At 50.6% G+C, this 19,457-nt stretch overlaps 1 protein-coding gene and 1 pseudogene across 33 annotated transcripts in view, besides 3 other annotated features; one reads left to right on the top strand and one right to left on the bottom strand.

Annotated features, from left to right (window-relative positions):
- The window catches only part of BRD1 (bromodomain containing 1), a 54,596-nt gene that overhangs the window by 7,376 nt on the left and 27,763 nt on the right, over window positions 1-19,457 (top strand). For 17 of the 33 annotated variants that reach the window (NR_146335.2, XR_007067961.1, XR_007067962.1 and 14 more), the window contains 2 exons: window positions 2,115-2,276; window positions 16,138-16,294. Coding sequence is in view for 24 of the 33 variants with exons in the window: in XM_017028722.3 (XP_016884211.2) it covers window positions 2,115-2,276; window positions 16,138-16,294 (319 nt within the window). In the remaining 9 variants the exon portion in view is untranslated. The remainder of the gene's footprint in view (window positions 1-2,114; window positions 2,277-16,137; window positions 16,295-19,457) is intronic. The other 16 variants (NR_146334.2, XR_007067965.1, XM_047441274.1 and 13 more) reach the window with 1 other exon arrangement.
- Window positions 1,555-3,390, bottom strand: LOC100420885 (suppressor of cytokine signaling 2 pseudogene; annotated as a pseudogene).
- Window positions 3,993-4,535: an enhancer, noted in NCBI's record as "H3K4me1 hESC enhancer chr22:50209611-50210153 (GRCh37/hg19 assembly coordinates)". NCBI's record gives its function as "activates a minimal SCP1, AML or CMV promoter by ChIP-STARR-seq in naive H9 embryonic stem cells {active_cell/tissue: H9 hESC(naive)}" and the evidence as "EXISTENCE:reporter gene assay evidence [ECO:0000049][PMID:30033119]".
- Window positions 4,536-5,079: an enhancer, noted in NCBI's record as "H3K4me1 hESC enhancer chr22:50209067-50209610 (GRCh37/hg19 assembly coordinates)". NCBI's record gives its function as "activates a minimal SCP1, AML or CMV promoter by ChIP-STARR-seq in naive H9 embryonic stem cells {active_cell/tissue: H9 hESC(naive)}" and the evidence as "EXISTENCE:reporter gene assay evidence [ECO:0000049][PMID:30033119]".
- Window positions 14,465-14,965: an enhancer, noted in NCBI's record as "H3K4me1 hESC enhancer chr22:50199181-50199681 (GRCh37/hg19 assembly coordinates)". NCBI's record gives its function as "activates a minimal SCP1, AML or CMV promoter by ChIP-STARR-seq in primed H9 embryonic stem cells {active_cell/tissue: H9 hESC(primed)}" and the evidence as "EXISTENCE:reporter gene assay evidence [ECO:0000049][PMID:30033119]".

Below are 19,457 nucleotides of genomic sequence, written 5' to 3'. Positions count from 1 at the left end.
CCAGCCTCAGCTGGGAATACAGGCACGAGCCACTGTGCCTGGCCCATGGTGAAGCTTCTTGATGTGCAGCCGTGGGCGGGGATGCTGAGTCTAGTTGGTTATGGTGTGCACTAACCAATGGCTCCGGTGTAGGACCCACCTAGAGCATCTGAGGATGTTATGCTTCAGGCCAGCCAGTCACGCTGGAAGGGAGATGAGACCCCATCTGAGCAGCGTTTTAGAGATTTTAGAGAAAGAGGATCTTCCTTATTCCCTGTGGACAGAACAGAATCTGCCTTCAGGGACGGACTGCTTTTATAATTCTAGTGGTTTAAAAAATTAAAATTTCAAGTAAAAAAGATAGTTCTTTTTTTTCCCCCCTTTTTTTTGAGGTGGAGTCTTGCTTTGTTGCCCAGGCTGCAGTGCAGTGCGGTGATCTTGGCTCACTGCAACCTCCACCTCCTGGGTTCAAGTGATTCTCCTGCCTCAGCCTCCTGAGTAGCTAGGATTACAGGCACCTGCCACCACACCCGGCCGATTTTTGTATTTTTAGTAGAGACGGGGTTTCACCATGTTGGCCAGGCTGGTCTTGAACTGCTGACCTCAGGTGATCCACCCGCCTCGAACTCCCAAAGTGCTGGGATTACAGGCGTGAGCCACTGCGCCAGGCTAAAAGAGATAGTTTTAAGGTTATAATCTGTTTTTTTGTAAGTTTGATATACTATGATTAAATAATAACAGCGGTAAATAAACACTTTGAAAAACAGGCAGGGCTGGGTGTGTGGCTCACACCTGTAATGCCAGCACTTTGGGAGGCCGAGGTGGGTAGATCACGAGGTCAGGAGTTCGAGACCAGCCTGGCTAACATGGTGAAAACCCATCTGTACTAAAAATATAAAAATTAGCCAGGCGTGGTGGTGCGCGCCTGTAATCCCAGCTATTCAGGAGGCTGAGGCAGGAGAATCTCCTGAACAGAGTCCTGCTCTTCTGCTCAGACGGGTGCAGTGGCATGGTTATGGCTCACTACAGCCTCGACCTCCTGGGCTCAAGCGACTCCCCCACCTCAGCCTCTTGAGTAGCTGGGACCACAGGCATGTGCCACCATGCCCTGCTAATGTTTTTATTTTTTGGTGAGATGGGGTCAAGCAATCTGCCTGCCTCGGCCTCCCAAAGTGCTGAGATTACAGGCGTGAGCCACCATGCCTGGCCTTACATTGATTTATTGTTATTTTTTCTTTTCTGTTCTTCTTTTTTTTCCTGAGATGAAGCCTCGCTCTGTTGCCCAGGCTGGAGTGCAATGGCATAATCTCGGCTCACTGCAGCCTCCACCTCCCAGGTTCAAGCGATCCTCGTTCCTCAGCCTCCCGAGTAGCTGGGACTACAGGTGTGTGCCACGGTGTCTGGCTAATTTTTGTATTTTTTTTGTAGAGATGGGGTTTCACCATGTTGTCCAGGATGGTCTCAAACTCGTGACTTCAGGTGATCTGCCTGCCTTGGCCTCCCAGAGTGCTGAGATTACAGGCGTGAACCACCGCACCCAGCCCTATTTTTTCTTTTCACTTCCTCTCTCCAGCATACATCAGTTTTTATTAACGGATTGAGTTGCACCTGTATAGAATGACATTTTTTTTTTGAGACGGAGTCTTGCTCTGTCACCTAGGCTGGAGCGCAGTGGCACGATCTCGGCTCACTACAAGCTCCACCTCCCGGGTTCACGCCATTCTCCTGCCTCAGCCTCCTGAGTAGCTGGGACCACAGGCGCCCACCACCACACCTGCTAATTTTTTGTATTTTTAGTAGAGACGGGGTTTCACCATGTTAGCCAGGATGGTCTTGATTTCCTGACCTCGTGATCCATCTGCCTCTGCCTCCCAAAGTGCTAGGATTAGAGGCGTGAGCCACCGAGCCCGGCCAGGAGGACATTTTGTCTTTAGTCTTAAAGGAAAAGGGAAAGTCTTTTCCATTTGCACCAGTTTGAAATTAGGGCTCCCTTAACATGGATTACTGCAGGACTCATTCACATGAGAGTTCATACATGGGGTGAAAAGACAAACAGGGTTTCCTGATAACTCTTTTTGGTTATTGCATGAAATGAGGGATAAATACACGCATAATCTGTTTAACAAAACTCCTAGGTTCATCAGAATGCAAAGTAGAAAGTGTCTTAAAAGAGACTGTGATCAGCAGGCAGACGGCCTGTGTCGGTTTGGTTCCTTTGACTGCTTCAGATCTTCTAGGAGGAGCTCCTCTACTACGAGAGCCTGGACTTCAGCCTCACGGACAAGAACCTCAGATAGGCAAGGCTTTGTGATGGGTGCTCCTCCTACCTTCATTCGAATGAGGTTTTCCTCCCGCCTTCACCCTGATAGGGTGCTCCTCCCGCCTTCACTGGTGTCATTTTATTTTGAGTTTAAAAGGATGAACTGGTCTTGGTCAGCCTTAGGAAGGGAAGCATCACTCAGGTGAAAATACGTGGCGAACTTTAAATACCTAGATATTCTCCTCATGCATTTAAATTAGAGTGACTTGAGCTGTTAGAAAAGTTGACTGGGTGCGGTGGCTCAGGCTAGTAATCCTAACACTGGAAGGCTGAGGTGGGTGGATTGCTTGAGCCCAGGAGGTCGAGGCTGCAGTGAGTTGTGATCGCACCTTTGTATTCCAGCCTGGGTGACAGAGTGAGACCCTGTCTCTAAGGGGTTTTGCATGGTTATCCAGAGCAGTCTCTTGAATTTTGGTTGTCTTTGACGCAGCTGCATCTGGAGATCCTCTATGTGAGGCATGTTTAGAGAAAGAGAAACATTGACCCCTGGAATTGATATTCTTCCAAGAAATCTTTTAGTCTTGTTGGTAAAGGCAGTCCTCAGATGGTACCGGTCCCTTTGTTAGTGGTGAGCCTACAGAGATGGTGCCTGGTGTGCAGAGCGATGTGGTTGGATGGAGGTGAACAGAGCAGTCTAGGGCCCCTGGGCCGCCTGCTGGTCCTAGCCCATCACAGCACAGTCATTCAGCAGACATGCTGCACCAGCTGATTGTTTGAGCTTGGGCTTGGTGCACATGATGGAGTTTGTCTGGATCTCCTGTCTTGGTATTCCATAGGAAGATGAGTTGGTCCAGCCCATGTCCTAATAGATGTTGTTAGCAGGAAGTCTGAACTTGAACTATCTCACATGAAGAAAGTTCCTTCTGCTGCCTCTTTTTATTTCTCTTTGGCTTCATGAACAGTCATGCACCCCCAGTGCCATCCTTTTGAGCTCCCCAAGGCCTCTGCCAGACACATCACCTCCAGGGGTGACTCCTTGACCCACCGTGCCATCACCACTGGCTCTGCACCCCTTCTGAGCCATTCCTGGAGCTTGAGGCACTGTGAGGTCAGGGGAAAAGGGTCAGCGTGGCAAGGAGAGATGGTCACCCAAGCTGGGGTCATAGAGCAGCTTATGGATTTCCTGGAAGTCAGTGGGAACTCATTTGGGAACCCCCAAAATGAGTCCCTGTGGGGTGTCTGAAATGGTGGCAGAAGGGGCAGGAATGGGGTCCGGCAGTTCTCTTCCCTCAGGTCCTGGCGGATGGATAGCAAAGTCCTGTGTAGACAAGGTCACCCACAGGTGGTATATGCCGGCTGCTAAGGGCCTTGGGTGGCGGGCCTTGGCCCCCGCAGTCCAGAGAGTGTCTGTTTACTATTCCCTGCAGGGTAGGCACCTTGGGCCCCAGAATTCGGAAGGCACTTTTTTCCTACCTGGACTCACTTCCTGCAGTGTTGGAGGCCACCTGGCCCTAGTCTATTTTATAGAGACAGGGTCTCACTATGTTGTCCAGGCTGATCTTGAATTCCTGGGCTTAAGCAATCCTCCTGCCTAGGCCTCCCAAAGTGTTGAGATTACAGGTGTGAGCCACCTCGCCCAGCCCCAGCCTTAGTCTGTAGTCTAATGCTGGAGGGTAGTATGTTGACTCTGGAATAAAGATGTCACTATTCTGGAACTTTTTCTGGGGTCACTGTCGGGAGGCGTTGTCTCCCTTGAGCACTTGCTGCAGCCCCAGGCTGTTGACCTGCACAGCCGTCCTCAGAGGGTGGGGAAGCTGTTCTGTCTTGGGGGCGTTGAGTCCACTAGGTAGGCCCTGTGAGGATCCCAGCTGTCACCTAGTGGGTACCTGCAGAGGTTTTGTTTTGTTCTTTTAATTGAGGCGGGGTCTTGCTCTGTTGCCCAGGCAGGAGTGAAGTGGCGCAATCCTAGGTCACTGCATCCTTGAACTCCTGGGCCCAAGTGGTCCTCAGCCTCCCAAAGTGCTAGGGTTACGGATTAGAGCCACCGGCCGCGGCCCCCTTTGGCTTGTGTTTTTAAGTCTTTTTTTCCTCCATGTTTCTGGCTGTTAATTTTTTATAAAAGTTTGTATCTGGCATGGATTGAAGCAGGAGACACTGGCTCAGTGCCCAGTGGGGAGAGCCCTGTGTGGGTACCTCCCGGGCGGTGTGGGTGCATGAGTTGGCTGCTGCGGGTGGCACCGGGAGGCCCTGTGTGGGTGCCTCCCGGGCAGTGTGGGTGCATGAGTTGGCTGCTGCGGGTGGCACTGGGAGGCATGGCAGGGGCCATGAGGCCACAGGTGGCAGCTCCCTGTGCTTGACCTGCATCGGGTCTGGAGTGGCGGGCACTCGGGAAGGAAGCGCCAGGACGACACATTGGAAGGAGGAGCTGCAGGGCAGGTCCAGCCAGTGCCTGGGAGCTCGGGAGGGCACCTGGGTGGACGCAGCCTGCAGGAGCGCCTGCTCTCCTGTATGAGGAACAGACCTGAATGCCGTTTCAGACACTGACTCATTCCTGCCCTCCTGTGACTTTGTTGGTTTTCTGGGTTTTAGTGCAGATTGTAGCTGGCAGCTCACAACAGAGCCCTTCCTGGTGCAGGCTGACAGGCAGGAGGGATTCTCCTCTACAGAAATGGACATTACTATATCTGGAAACAGTTTTTTTTTTTTTCTTCTTTTTGAGATGGAGTCTTGCTGTGTCGCCCAGGCTGGAGTGCAGTGGCGTGATCTACGCTCACTGCAACCTCTGCCCCCTGGGTTCAAGCGATTCTCCTGCCTCAGCCTCCCGAATAGCCGGAATTACAGGTGCACGTCACCACGCCCAACTAATTTTTGTGTTTTTAGTGGAGATGGGGTTTCGTCACGTTGGCCAGGCTGGTCTCGAACTCCTGACTGACCTAAGGTAATCCGCCTGCCTTAGCCTCCCAAAGTGTTGGGATTACAGGCATAAGCCACTGTGCCTGGCCTAGATTTGTTTTAATTGAAAAAGCTGAAGCAAATAAAAATTGTGCTGGGGAAAACTCTGAGTGCTCAGAGCATGGGCTGCGTTTCTCACTGGCCTCACCGCACCTTCCTCTGCACTCAGACTCTCCTAAAGATGCTGGCATTTACTGAACTAAAGGTAGCATTTCGCAGAGCAGGGCCGTGGGCCATGAACCACAGTCATCTGGCCATTTAGACAGCTCTGCCCTGCCCCCGGCGACTTGGGTACCCAACCATGTCATTCCCACCCCTAGCTTTGTGGGGCAACGTTCCTCTAGGCCGGGTTCTCTTCCCTGAAGCACCCCAGGCATGTAGAAGATGTTCTCAGCAGAGGGGAGACACCACAGTGTAGCTGATTTCTGTCTCTCTTCACTTTCACCATATTTACTTACTTTTGGTAGAAGTGGGGTTGAAAATTTATGTGAAGTTTTCTTTACTACTGGGGACAGCGGGGCAGATTACTGCCACACATAATCACCTCTGCTCCAGCCTAGGTGCTACCTGCTGGAGGCGATGGTGGCTTTCCTGAGAGCACCTCCTGGGCTCGGGCTGGTGGGGAGCTTGATTTTACCTTTTTATGTGGAAATAACTTCAAATTTACAAAATATTCACAAAAATAAAGAGAGCAGGGACTACCCAGGTGCTCTACATAGAGTTGCCTGTTGCTGGGGCTGCGTCCTCTTTTGCACACCCTGCCCCGTCGGAGAGGATCCCAGATGTGGCCCTTGCCCATGCACGTCAGGCATGTGAAAAGAGCAGGTGTCCCCTGGCGATGGGCAGCAGGCTTTGTGGTGCCCCAGCCTTGGTGCAGGAGTCCCCTGAGGTGAGATTCAGGGCTCTGGCCGGCTGGTCTCATGTGTTTCCTGAGCGATGGATGTGGGCACGGCGTCCTCCACCTCGCACCACCTGGCATGGGGTCTGCGTGTGTGTCATGCCAGGGTTCTGGGCCTGCACCGGGGGCTCCTGCCCTGCCTGTGCACTGTTTGTCGGGGGCTTGTGCCCGTGGGTGAGTGTATCTTTTCATTTTTAGTGATGTCTTTAAAATATTCTTTTTTAGTTTGGAAATCTTTGGAGAGAGCCCCCTGTTCTTTCACTCAACTTTAGAAGTTATACGCACCTGGCCAGCCTCCCCTCTCCCATTCCTTCCATTCCATTGTTTTGAAGCGAGTCCTGGCCATGGAATTCCGTTCGTGCACCCGTCAGTGTGTAAAGGTTCTGAAAAGCAGCCTGAATTTTCTATTGTCTGATGAACCGAAGTTTGTTCATTTCATCGTACTCCTCAAATTTATCACCCTTTCCCCATGTGGCATGTGCATGCTGGGTCTGCTTGAAGAAACTCGTCCCCACTCTGCAGCCGTAAAGCTGCTCCCTGTATTTCCTCTAGGAGTCTTTACAAATTTTTTTTTTTTTTTTAAATGGAGTCTCACTCTGTCACCCAGGCTGGAGTGCAATGGCACAGTCTTGGCTCACTGCAGCCTCCGCCTCCTGGGCTCAAGCGATTCTGCCTCAGCTTCCCGAGTAACTGGCATTACAGGCGCCTGCCACCACACCTGGCTAATTTTTGTATTTTTAGTAGAGATGGGGTTTCGCCGTGTTGGCCAGGCTGGTCTCGAACTCTTGACCTCAAGTGATCGCCCACCTCGGCCTCTCAAAGTGCTGGGATTATAGGCATGAGCCATTAATGGCTCCTGGCCAAAAATTTTTTTAATAAAAATAAAAGGCTGGGTGTGGTGGCTCACGCCTGTAATCCCAGCACTTTGAGAGGCCAAGGGGGGCGGATCACGAGGTCAAGAGATTGAGATCATCCTGGCCAACATGGTGAAACCCCGTCTCTACTAAAAATACAAAAATTAGCTGGTCGTGGTGGTGGGCACCTGTAGTCCCAGCTACTAGGGAGGCTGAGAGGCAGGAGAATCGCTTGAAGCCAGGAGGCAGAGGTTGCAGTGAGCTGAGATCATGCCACTGCACTCCAGCCTAGCGACAGAGCGAGACTCCATCTCAAAAAAACAAAAAATAGAGATGGCGTCTCACTGTGTTGCCTAGGTTGGTCTTGAACTCCTGAGCTCAAATGATCCACTCACATCAGCCTCCGAAAGTGCTGGGATCATAGGGGTGAGCCATGGTGCCCGGCCACCTCGAGGAGTCTTGAGCCCTCCTGGAATTGCTGTTTGGTGTGAGGTTGGGTCAGGCCTGGTGAGTCATCTGGGTTGTGAGCCAGCCTGCTTGGCCTCCTGGTCTCAGGCCAGCTGTGACCTGGACCTTGGGCCACCCAGCAGCTTTGTGCTGAGCCTCAGTCTGCGGTTGGGAGGGCACCCCTTGTCTCCAGAATGGTCCTGGCGTGTGAGGTCCTTGGTGCGTCCGTGTACAGTGGGCGGCACCTTGTCTCCAGAACGGTCCTGGCGTGTGAGGTCCTTGGTGCGTCTGTGTACATGGGCGGCACCTTGTCTCCAGAATGGTCCTGGCGTGTGAGGTCCTTGGTTCGTCTGTGTACAGTGGGCAGTAGCTTTAAAGTTCCTGCTTCACCTTGTCAGACTTCTGGTTAGAGTCCTCCCGACATTAGTGTTCCTTTAGGAAGCTTGGACTCTTTACACCGTTAATTACACTGTTAATTTCACTTAAACATGGAGGTGGCCCAGTTTGCTGCCCATGTAAGACTACTTTTACTTTTTTGAGACAAGGTCTTGCTCTGTCGCCCAGGCTGGAGTTCAGTGGCATGATCTCAGTTCACTGCAGCCTCCACCTCCAGAGTTCAAGTGAGTCTCATGCCTCAGCCTCCTGAGTAGCTGGGATTATAGGCATGTGCCACGACTCCTGGCTCTCTCTAGGACTTCTTTAATGTCATAATAGAAGCTGATGGTTTTCTCCATAAAAGTCTATTAGATTTATTTCTAGGCACTTGTTAATATAGTACTTCTTAAAATTAGCATTTTTGTTTTTAGCTATGTGTTGTAGATGGATACAACATGTTGTAAGATTCTTTTGGATCGTCTTTGTGGACAGTATCTGTGAAGAATGACTCCTGCCTCAGTCTCCCACTTGAACCCAGGAGGTGGAGCTTGCAGTGAGCCGAGATCGCGCCATTGCACTCCAGCCTGGGTGACAGAGCAAGACTGTCTCAAAAAAAAAAAAAAAAAAAGGAGCAGACTGTGCTCCTTGCCATAGGATTTTATCCATGTTCTTTTATTTCTGCCTCTCAAATACTGTTTAATCTTAACGTATTTTTAAATTTTGTGTGATTTTTCTGTTTTTGAGAGGAATTTTTGATATGTTAATACTATAGATCTTAGTATATTTTAAAAACTGATGATGTTTGATACATGCCAAATCATGTGTGGACCATAAATGTAAATAGCAATGCCCACAAACCCACCCATAGCCTAGGAATTGGGAGACTCAGCACCGCCGGCTGAATTCGCCTGTGCGGTGTGTCCCATTCCATCCCTGTTCTGCCGCCCGTGGGGGAATTTTGTCAGCTTCACTGAGACACTTAGTACCCTCCCCTTACCTGTGGTTTTGCTTTCCATGGTGTCAGTTGCCCATGGTCAGCCATAGTCTGAAAGTATTAAATGGGAAATTCCAGCAGTAAGCAGTTCATAAGTTTTCAGTTGTGCACCATTCTGAGCAGCGTGATCACAGTCTCCCTGTCGTGTCCTGCCTGCCGGGAGCGTGAATCTAACCTTTGTCCAGTGCACCCACGCCGTGCAGCTGCCTGCACCTTAACCCGCTTAGTAGCAGGTACCAACATCCAGGCTGGCGCTCGGTCCTGTTCCAAGTTTCAGGCAGCCGCTGGAGGTCTTGGAACCATCCCCCTTGGTTAAGGGGGGACTCTTGTCATTCACACACCATGAAATTTACCCATGTGAAGTGTACAGTTGAGTGGATTTTAGTTCACAGAGTTGTGCATTTATCACCACCACCAATTTTAGAAATTTTTATCACCTCCAAAGGAAACCCTGTGCCTCTTAGCCATTACCCCAACTTCCCACCTTCTCATCCTCCCCCAGCCCTGGCAGCCACCCATCTGCATCCTGTCTCCGTGTATTTGCCTGTTGTGGGCATTTCATAGAAATGTGTTTTTTTGTTCTTTTATGAAATGTGTTTTTTTTGTTCTTTCACTGAGCATGTTTCCAAGGTCCATCCATCGTGCCCCCTGGGTCGGTGTGCCATTCCTTTTCACGGCTGCGTAATGTTCATTGTATGGATAGGCCACGTTTAAAAAAATCTGTTCATCTTTTGATGGATGTTTGTTTTTTTCCTACTTTGGAGCTATTATGAACAATGCTGCTCTGAACATTTGTGTAACAGTTTTTAGGTAGTGTGTTTTTATTTCTCTTGGGTATATTCTAGGAGTGGAGTTGCTGGGTCATGTGGTAATGCTGTTTAGTATTTTGAGGAAGTGCCAGATTGTTTTCCAAGGCAGCTGTACCCCTGTATATTCTCAGGCGCTGTCCTTTTGATGATACCCATTCCATGGTGCAGGGGCAGCGATCGCTCGGGGGTTTTGCTTTGCAGTTCCACAGTGGCTGAAGATGTTGCCTGGCCATTTGCATATTTTCTTTGGAGAAATGTCTGTTCAGATCTTTGCCATGTTTTCATTGGTTAGCTGACTTCTTACTGTTGTCATAAGAGTTCTCTGTTCTGGGTACTAGACTCCCTATTAGATACATGACTTGCAAATACTTTCTCTTCATTCTGTGGGTCATCTTATTGTTTTATTCAGTGTTCTTTGAAGCACAAACATTTACAAGTTGGATGGAGTCCAGTTTATCTGCTTTCTCTTCGGTTGCTTGTGCTTTTGGTGTCACATGTAAGAAGCCTTTGCCTAACCAAGGGTCTTTTAATAGGAGTTTTATTTATTTTTATATGTGCACATATATATATATTTTAAGAGCTGGGGTCTCACTGTGTTGCCCAGGCTGTTCTGAAACTCCTGGGCTCAAGCAATTTTCTCGCCTTGGCATCCCAAAGTGCTGGGATTACAAGTGTGAGTCACCGCGTCTGGCCACTGTTTTCCTATATATGATAATTTCTACCTTTACCTGATAGCAGTCTAGAAGCATGTGGGGCTTGCTTGCTTGCTCGCTCGCTTTCTTTCTTTCTCTTTCTTTCTTTTTTAACCAAATTAATTTTTTAAACTCTTGATATCCATTGCTTGTGCTGTGGGCAAAGGACGTGACCTGCATGGTACGCATTCATTCTTTGATGCTTGTTGAGACTTTATGGCCCAATAGGTTATACATTTTTTATAAATAGTCCATCTGTGCTTGTGAATATGTGTGTTCTTTCTTTCTTTGATGCAATATTCTCTATGAGCTTGTTGGGTCAAATGTATAAGTCATGCTTACATTTTTAATATCCTTAATTTATTTTTGCGTGAATTGGTTTCATTAGGCTTGTAGGTTTAACAGTTCTCATTGTAGCTCCTGGAGGTTTTGCATTTGATATTTTCAAGATGTCCCGTTAGGCAGTGTGTACGCATTTGGAATTTGGTCACTTCCTTCGATCATGGTCCAGTAGCCCTCATAGCCCTCTTCACTCCAGTCATGGTGTTTCTCTGGCCTCAGTTCAGCTGATCGGTCAGCAGTACCCACTTTCTGCTCCTTAATGTACACCTGAACATTTTCCTTATGTCCAGCTTCAGCCTTGCTGTGGTATTTTAAAACTGGAATTACATATATATATATATATATATTTTTTTTGGAGACGAAGTCTCATTCCGTCACCCAGGCTGGAGTGCAGTGGCGCGATCTCGGCTCACTACAACCTCCGCCTCCCGTGTTCAAGCGATTCTCCTGCCTCAAGCCTTCCAAGTAGCTGGGATTACAGGCACCTGTCACCACGCCTGGCTAATTTTTGTATTTTTAGTAGAGACGAGGTTTCACCATCTTGGCTAGGCTGGTCTTGAACTCCTGACCTCATGATCCACCTGCTTCGGCCTCCCAAAGTGCTGGGATTACAGGCGTGAGCCACTGCACCTGGCCTAAAACTGGAATTTTAAATTTTTAACCAGATTGACAACCTCTTCATTAGCAACTTTAGACTGTTGACTTATGTTGGATTACTGATCTATTTTGGATTTGTTTCCATGATCCTTTTTTTCCCTTTTTCTTTATTTTTCCTCTGAGACTGAGTCTTGCTATGTTGCCCAGGCTGGAGTGCAGTGGTGTGATCTCGGCTCACTGTAATGTCTTCCTCCCGGGTTCAAGCAGTTCTCCTGCCTCAGTCTCCTGAATAGCTAGGATTACGGGCGTGTGCCATCATGCCTGGCTAATTTTTTTGTATTTTTAGTAGAGATGGGGTTTCACCATGTTGGCCAGGCTGGTCTTGAACTCCTGACCTCATGATCTGCCTGCCTCGGCTTCCAAAAGTGCTGGGATTACAGGCGGAAGCCACTGCGCCCGGCTCACTTTTTCTTCTGATGTATTGACTCAGATGGTTTTGCTGTTTTGGAGTCGGGGGCATTTTTCCTCCTCTACTCATTTGGAAGGTGCACATTCCATTTAACTCTCTGTATTCAAGTTTTTTCAGTATTTTACTGTGGTCACGTACACATAACATAAAATGTACCATCTTAATCATTGTAAGTGTATAGCTCAGGGGCATGAAGCACTTTGATATTGCTGTTGCTGTGCAGCCATCACCACCATCTATCTTCAGAGCCTTTTTGTCTTCCCAGTCTGAAACTCTGTCCCAGTTAAACAGGAACTCCCCATTCCTCCCTCCCTGGCTGCGGGCGTTCACCGTTCTACTCCCTGTCTCCATGAATTTGACTCCTCTTCAGTCCCTCACATAAGCGCAATCAGGCAGTATTTGTCTTTTTGTGTCTGGCTTATTGCACTGAGCACATTTTCAAGGCTTTTCCATGTCATTGCATGCATTGGAACTTCCTTGCCTTTTAAGGCTGAATAACCCTCTGTATGTGGAGATAAGCTTTTGCTTACCCATTCCTTCCTCCATGGGCTCTTGGGTTGCTTCCATGTTTTAGCCATCGTGAATAATGCTGTGAAGAACATGGGTGATAAGTATCTGAGCCTGTTTTCAGTTCTTTTGGGTGTATACCCGGAAGTGGGATTGCCAGGTCACACGGCATTTCTGTCTTTAAGTGTTTGAGGAGCCACAACACTGTTTTCCACAGCGGCTACACCTTTTTACGTTCTTGCCGGCGGTGCGCAAGGGTTCAGGGTTTCCACATCCTTACCAACATTTTTTTTTTGTTTTTTGTTAGTATTTTTTGATAGCCATTCTAATAGGTGTGAAGGTGACATCATAGTTTGGATTTGCATTTCTGTGTTTATTGAGCATTTGCACTTTTGAAGAATTGTCTATTTGAGTATTTTAACCAGTTTTGAATTGGATTATTTTTTGTCAAGTTTTAGGAGTTTCTGGATATTAATCCCATTTCAGATACGTGATTTGAAAATATTTCCTCCCATTCACTCTGCTGTGTGTCTTTTAATGCACACATTTTAACATTTTTCATGAAGCCCAGTTTATTTTTTCTTTTTGTTTCCTGTGCCTTTGGTGTCTTATTCAAGAAATCATTGCCAAATCCAGTGTCATGAAGCTTTTCCCTTCTGTTTTAAGAGATTTATAGTTTTAGGTCTTATGTCTAGGTCTTCGATTTTGAGTTAATTTTTGTGTGTGAAATGAGGCAAGGTCCAACTTCACATTCTTTTGCATGGCCATATCCACTTGTCCTGGTGCCATCTGCTGAAAAGACTGTCTTTTCCCCTCTGAATGGTCTTGGCACCCTTGTCAACAGTCTCTGCTGGATACGGGAGGGTTCGCTTCAGGGTTCTCTGCTATTCCCATGGTCTATATGTGTGTCCTTTCGTCAGCACCGCACTGTTTTGATGACCGTAGCTTTGTGGTAAGTTCTGAAGTCAGGAAGCGTGACTTTTACAGCTTTTTCAAGGTGATTTGGCTGTTGGGTGTTCCTTGAGTTTCCATATGAATTTTAGGGTGGATTTTCCTATTTCTGCAAAAGACATCATTGGTATTTTGATAGGAATTGCATTGGATCTGTAGATCACTTTCGGTGGTATTGACATCTTAACAATATTGGTCTTCCTATCCATACGTTCCCTAGTGCATTTAGTGGGTCCCATGGTAAAGTATTTATGTGTCAGCATGTAGACTGGGCTTAACAAAAATCCAAGGAATACTTGATGTTGGAACTCTGGTGACCTCCCTCATTTCCGGGGTTCTTTTCCCTGGTGTGGGTTCTTTTTTTTTTTTTTTTGAGACAAAGTCTCGCTCTTGTTCCTCAGGCTGGAGTGCAATGGTGCGATCTTGGCTCATTGCAACGTCCGCTTCCCGGGCTCAAGCGATTCTCCCACCTCAGCCTCCCGAGTAGCTGGGATTGTAGGCACGCACCACCACACCCGGCTAATTTTTGTATTTTTAGTAGCGACGGGGTTTCACCATGTTGGCCAGGCTGGTCACGAACTGCTGACCTCAGGTGATCCGCCCGCCTCGGCCTCCCAAAGTGCTGGGATTATAGGCGTGAGCTACCGCGCCCGGCTCCTAGTGTGGGTTCTGACTTGTCTGCAGTCATCCCTGAGGTGGGCATTGCGGCTGCTGCCCCCAGGCCTCCTTCATCTTGCCCGTATTGCCGGCATCTCAGTCCACCCAGCCCTCAGGGACTGCTTTCTGTGGTTGTCATATGTATGTCTTTGCTTAGTTTTCTTATCTGAGGTCTGTTTCCCCTTAACTCTTCTGTCCGAGTTGAGTGGGGGTGCTCATCGCCTCAGCTGGGAAGCTGCTCTTCCATGCTCTTCCTCACTCTAATTTTGGGGTTTTCAGCCTCTTGCTCACATGAGCTCCCTCAGCCTCCCAAGTAGTTGGGGTCACAGACGCACACCTCTGCATCTGGCTCTTAAGTTTTTAAAGCATTTTCATCAAAGCCTTTTTGCTCACAACTTGTGGGCTGTTGACATTTCCAGAAGCCCTGACTCTGGAGAAGATGGTGGCTTGTTGTGATGAGGTCAGAATTTTTTCTCACATCTCATGGGTCAGAAGAAATAAAAACAAACAGAATCTTTCTTTCTTTCTTTTTTAAGAGATAGGGCTGGCTGGGTGTGGTGGCTCATGTCTGTAATCCCAGTACTTCGGGAGGCTGAGGCCAGGAGTTCGAGACCAGCCTGGCCAACATAGCAAAACCCCATCTTCACTGAAAACATAAAAATTAGCTGGGTGTGGGCCGGGAGCGGTGGCTTATGCCTGTCATCCCAGCACTTGGGACGCCGAGGTGGACAGAAACCTGAGGTCAGGAGTTTTGAGACCAGCCTGGCCAGCACGGTGAAACCTTGTCTCTGCTAAAAATACAAAAATTAGCTGGGTGTGGCAACGGGCGCCTGTAGTCCCAGCTACTAGGGAGGCTGAGGCAGGAGAATCGCTTGAACCCGGGAGGCGGAGGTTGCAGTGAGCTGAAATTGCGTCACTGCACTCCAGCCTGGGCAATAGAGTGAGACTCCATCTCAAAAAAAAAAAAAAAAAAGACTCACTGAACCAGAAGAGTTAAGTGTTGTGCTATTGACTGCACATGGTTTGCCTCAGTCCCAAGTGGTAAAAACAGACTGCTCCCAAAACAGCAGGCCATGAGGTGACCAGGTCCAGCCCAGCCCAGCCTGCAGAGGAGGAGCCCTGTGGGGCTGTGATCAGAGCCCAGCGTCCCAGTGCACCTGCCGATGCCCTCTCCAGCCTCTGGCTTCCTTCCGTTGGCTGTCCTTGGAGGGCTGTGCTTCGTGGGCAGGCGTTTGGTGTCCTGAGCATGCAGACTGCCCTTGGAGTGGTGGGCAGGATTGTTTTAGCCTAAAGGGGTTCCACATCTGCACGGGAGCTCTTGCTGATGGGTCACTCTGGCAAAGTTCCCCCGGCGGGTTCCCTGTGAGAAGGCACCTCACGGTCAGTTCTGGGTCTGGTGAGTGTTCTCCTGCAGGCTCCACGCTTGAGCCAGGTTCTGCCGGAAGAGGCGGCGTTGGGTTCCCTTGGTGGATGAGAGGCGCCGAGGGTCTTGGTGGCTCCATGTGCCCCCAAGGGCAGCACTTTGCATTTCTTGGGAGACTTGAAGATGACTGATGTCATTTTAGTGAGCACGGTAAAACAGCACCTGTTAGCGGCTTATACCTTGAGCTCTGTCTCTCTTCTTGGAGGTGACATGGGGACCAGTGCCCACCTCTCCCATGGCGTCTGAGTGGACAGTGTCTAAGGTTTTGGGCCCGCTGACACAGATGTGGTTGAAGTCAGCTTGTGTGCAGATGGGGTCACATAGAAAGAATGAAAACTGTTGAAGGCTTTGCTCAGCATGTTTTCTTTTTGGATATTCAATCTGATAAATGTTGTAGTGAATGAGAAGTGGATGAAATCTTTTTTTTTTAATTTTATTTTTGAGTCAGAATCTCGCTCTGTCACCCAGGCTGGAGTGCAGTGGTGCGATTTCGGCTCACACCAACCTCCACCTCCCAGGTTTAAGCGATTCTCCTGCCTCAGCCTCCCAAGTAGCCGGGACTACACGCATGTACCTCCACATTCAGCTAATATTTTTGTATTTTTGGTAGAGACGGGGTTTCACCATGTTGGCCAGGCTGGTCTCAAACTCCTGGCCTCAAGGGATCCCCCCACCTCGGCCTCCCAAAGTGCTGGGATTACAGGCAGGAGCCACTGTGCCCAACCTAAAAAGTGGATGAAATCTTCAAATGGTTGGAGATCGTGAATTTTGTTTTAGCAGCACTAGGGATAGTAGAAATACAGGTGTCATGGCTTAGGGAGAAAAAGTATGAACACATGGTTTTGTTAGCAGTAGTACTGTCATTTCTAGTTTATGTGATGAAACATCTTAATGTACTGCTTCAAAGATACACTGAGTGTTTGTGTTTTAGGTTAAATAGGATTGCGAATCAGGTGGCCATTCAGCGGAAGAAGCAGTTTGTGGAGCGAGCCCACAGCTACTGGCTGCTCAAGCGGCTGTCCAGGAACGGGGCCCCCCTGCTGCGGCGGCTGCAGTCCAGCCTGCAGTCTCAGCGAAGCTCACAGCAGGTACGTGGCTCGTGGCCCCCACAGCCTTTCTGCGTCTCTCACCCCCACCCTCCAGGGAGAGGGCACCTGGTTCAGGCTGGTCACGGTGCTGCCCCCTGGGCTCAGGCTCCCCGTTGGGAAGCCTCCGTCTCGTCCAGCCCTGGAGCTGTAGGAGGAGTCGGGTGCACTGGGCTCTGGATCTGCGACTCGGGGGGTGATTCTCATCCATGCCTGTCACTGGGTGTTTCTTCCGTTTTGAGTTGCGCTCCCCCGCCCTGCCCTGCCCGCACACACGCTGATGGGCAGTGGCCAGCTCTGGGGACTGGGGATGCTCAGGGATGTGTTATGCTGTGGCTGCATGAGCGTCCGGGCTGGGGACAGCAGGAGTGGGACCCGGTGAGCACACCCGGGCCATGTGGGTGGGGGTCTGTGTGCTGGGCCTGGAGGGTGGGTTTTGGAAATATGTGAGGAGTGGTTTATTTCGAGGGCCTTGCTCTGAAGGTTGGTTTAGCTGGGACTGTGGTGGGGTGGGGAGGGCTCGAGAGAGCTGAGAGAGTGGGAGGGAAGGAGCAGGACTTTTCCTTTTTAAAAGAACAAACCCAAACTCTTACATTTTGATAGTAGGTTTGAGTTTATAGACTCATCTGATACTGTGAAACAGTTCTGAAAAAATGGGTTTACAGAGTGAAGTAGCTTCTGTGAGATGCACAAAAGTAATTGAAAACACAAGCAGCTCTGCACACGGCCCAGGACCTGCGGCCAGCGCCCTCTGCCCACGCTGCCTAGTGAGGAGCCGCTGGTCTTTTGGAAGAGCTGTCTGCTGCTGGCGTCGCGTGGCCTGAGTGCCTCTTGGAATTTCCTCATGGTGCTTTTCACTGCCATCCTGGGCACGAAGCGAAACCATCCTGCTCTGCTGTGAGGTGGTGACTTGCTCACAGGAAGCTTGAGTCTACAGGGTTCACGGTTGGGTCCCCGTGCGGTGGTGCGGTGGCCGGTGCTGTCTCTGCCTCGCAGACTCTGCCTCTGCAGCGTGAGCCCTGTTCAGTCACCTGCCGTGGCTGCCTTGTGCTCCAGGGAACTACAGAGTCTGGTGCTCTGGTCTGGCAGGTGGTGGTTTGTGGGTCTGATTTGGTGTGGTGGGGTCCAAAGTTTTCTGACGGCCTTGGTGCGTCTTGGCTGTGGAATATTCCAGGTCTCCCGTGCCGTCCACCTGGGTTGCCCCACTGTGTGTCTGTCCATGGAACTTGGGGCTCCCCGGGCAGGTCTGTGAGCCAGCCCCTCTCCAAGTGAGATCCTCACGTGTCCACAGAGTTGAGGCTTCAGTGAATGTCTTTTGGCTGTTGAATGAGTTAACCGCATCTTCCGTTCCATGATGTGACTTGGCTTTCCATCTCTCCTCTGTCCTCACCTCGTAGCCTCCAGGGCTCCTGGAAAGGACAGCACGGTTTGGGGGGCTCTTAAGAGGCCAGAGTCAGGAAGTGGCTGAGCGGCGGGAAGCTCTGGGGGCTGGAGGCATTGGTCTCGGCCCCCGCGATGTTGGGGAAAGGAAGAGAGTGGAGGCATTGGTCTCGGCCCCCGCGATGTTGGGGAAAGGAAGAGAGTGGAGGCATTGGTCTCGGCCCCCGCGATGTTGGGGAAAGGAAGAGAGTGGAGGCATTGGTCTCGGCCCCCGCGATGTTGGGGAAAGGAAGAGAGTGGAGGCATTGGTCTCGGCCCCTGCGATGTTGGGGAATGGAAGAGAGTGGAGGCATTGGTCTCGGCCCCCGCGATGTTGGGGAAAGGAAGAGAGTGGAGGCATTGGTCTCGGCCCCCGCGATGTTGGGGAAAGGAAGAGAGTGGAGGCATTGGTCTCGGCCCCCGCGATGTTGGGGAAAGGAAGAGAGTGGAGGCATTGGTCTCGGCCCCCGCGATGTTGGGGAATGGAAGAGAGTGGAGGCATTGGTCTCGGCCCCCGCGATGTTGGGGAAAGGAAGAGAGTGGAGGCATTGGTCTCGGCCCCCGCGATGTTGGGGAAAGGAAGAGAGTGGAGGCATTGGTCTCGGCCCCCGCGATGTTGGGGAAAGGAAGAGAGTGGAGGCATTGGTCTCCGCCCCTGCGATGTTGGGGAATGGAAGAGAGGCTTTTTTGGGAGGAAGTTGAGGGTTCAGATCTTGGGTCTTATCTCGGGGCTGGACAGAACTCCAGGTAAGTCACAGAGGAGCTGTTGAAGGGCAGATTCCATGGAAAGTGGGCATGGATGTGGCCAAACGGGACGTCCAGCGGTGGGAATCATCATTTCTACTCTCATAAGCTGGGACACGAGGGCCAGAATCCCTGCAGTAGCAGGACACGTGGGCCAGTGGGCAGGGGCCACGGGGACCCAGGCAGCTGGGGGTGGCCTGGGGCGTGGTGGAGCCAGGCAAGGGAAGGGGGAGGGTTGCAAAGAAGAGGTGACCCGCTGGAACCTGCCAGCTGGGCCCCCTCTGCTTCATCGCTGCCTGTTAGGCCTCACGTCCTGTTGTGTGCAGAATACGTTTGTAAGGAGAGAACATCCCCACAGCCCGGCCAGAGCAGCTCTTCTGGCAGAGGGGGCAGCTTCTCGAAGTCACCTGGGAAGGAGCAGAAGGAGCTGCCTGGACTTGAGCCGCAGCAGAGCAGTCGGCGTGGAGAGCCTGGAAACCTGCCTCTGTGTGAACGGGCTATTGGGAGAGACTGTGCTTCTGCCTTCTCCTGGCCAGGGATGGCCACGGCTTGGTGTGGTTTCATGGTTTTGAAGCTTTGGAAGTACCTGATGCATTTGATTCCTCTGTGTCTCTGTGTACCTGCCCCAGCCTGACCCTGTGGTGGGGGCAGGTGGATGAACTGGACGGGGTCTCTTGAGAGGCCAGCAGGCGCCGAGGGTGCTGCAGCGATGGCGGGTCTGTGCTGGCTGCGCATATAGGCCCTGGTTTTTGTTCTGGTGTGTGTGGCCGTTGAAGGCCGCAGGGAGAACGGGGGCGGCAGCTTAGCTTTATAAAGGGTGAGCAGCGATTTGTGTGTATGCTGGTGGCGTCCCACTGTCTCCTGCTCCCGTGGCCCACCCTTCCTGTCCTGGGAGCGCATCCTGCAGCTTTCCCAGTGTCTGTCCTGTGGCATGCTGGGCGCTGCTGCCCACATCGTCCTTGCTGTGCTGCGTGTGTGGCCTCTGCCAGTCCCACGCACCTGC

The sequence above is a fragment of the Homo sapiens genome, chromosome 22 (assembly GCF_000001405.40).
Source record: "Homo sapiens chromosome 22, GRCh38.p14 Primary Assembly".
NCBI classification, from domain to species: Eukaryota; Metazoa; Chordata; class Mammalia; order Primates; family Hominidae; genus Homo; species Homo sapiens.
This window is presented reverse-complemented; position numbering and strand designations above follow the sequence as displayed.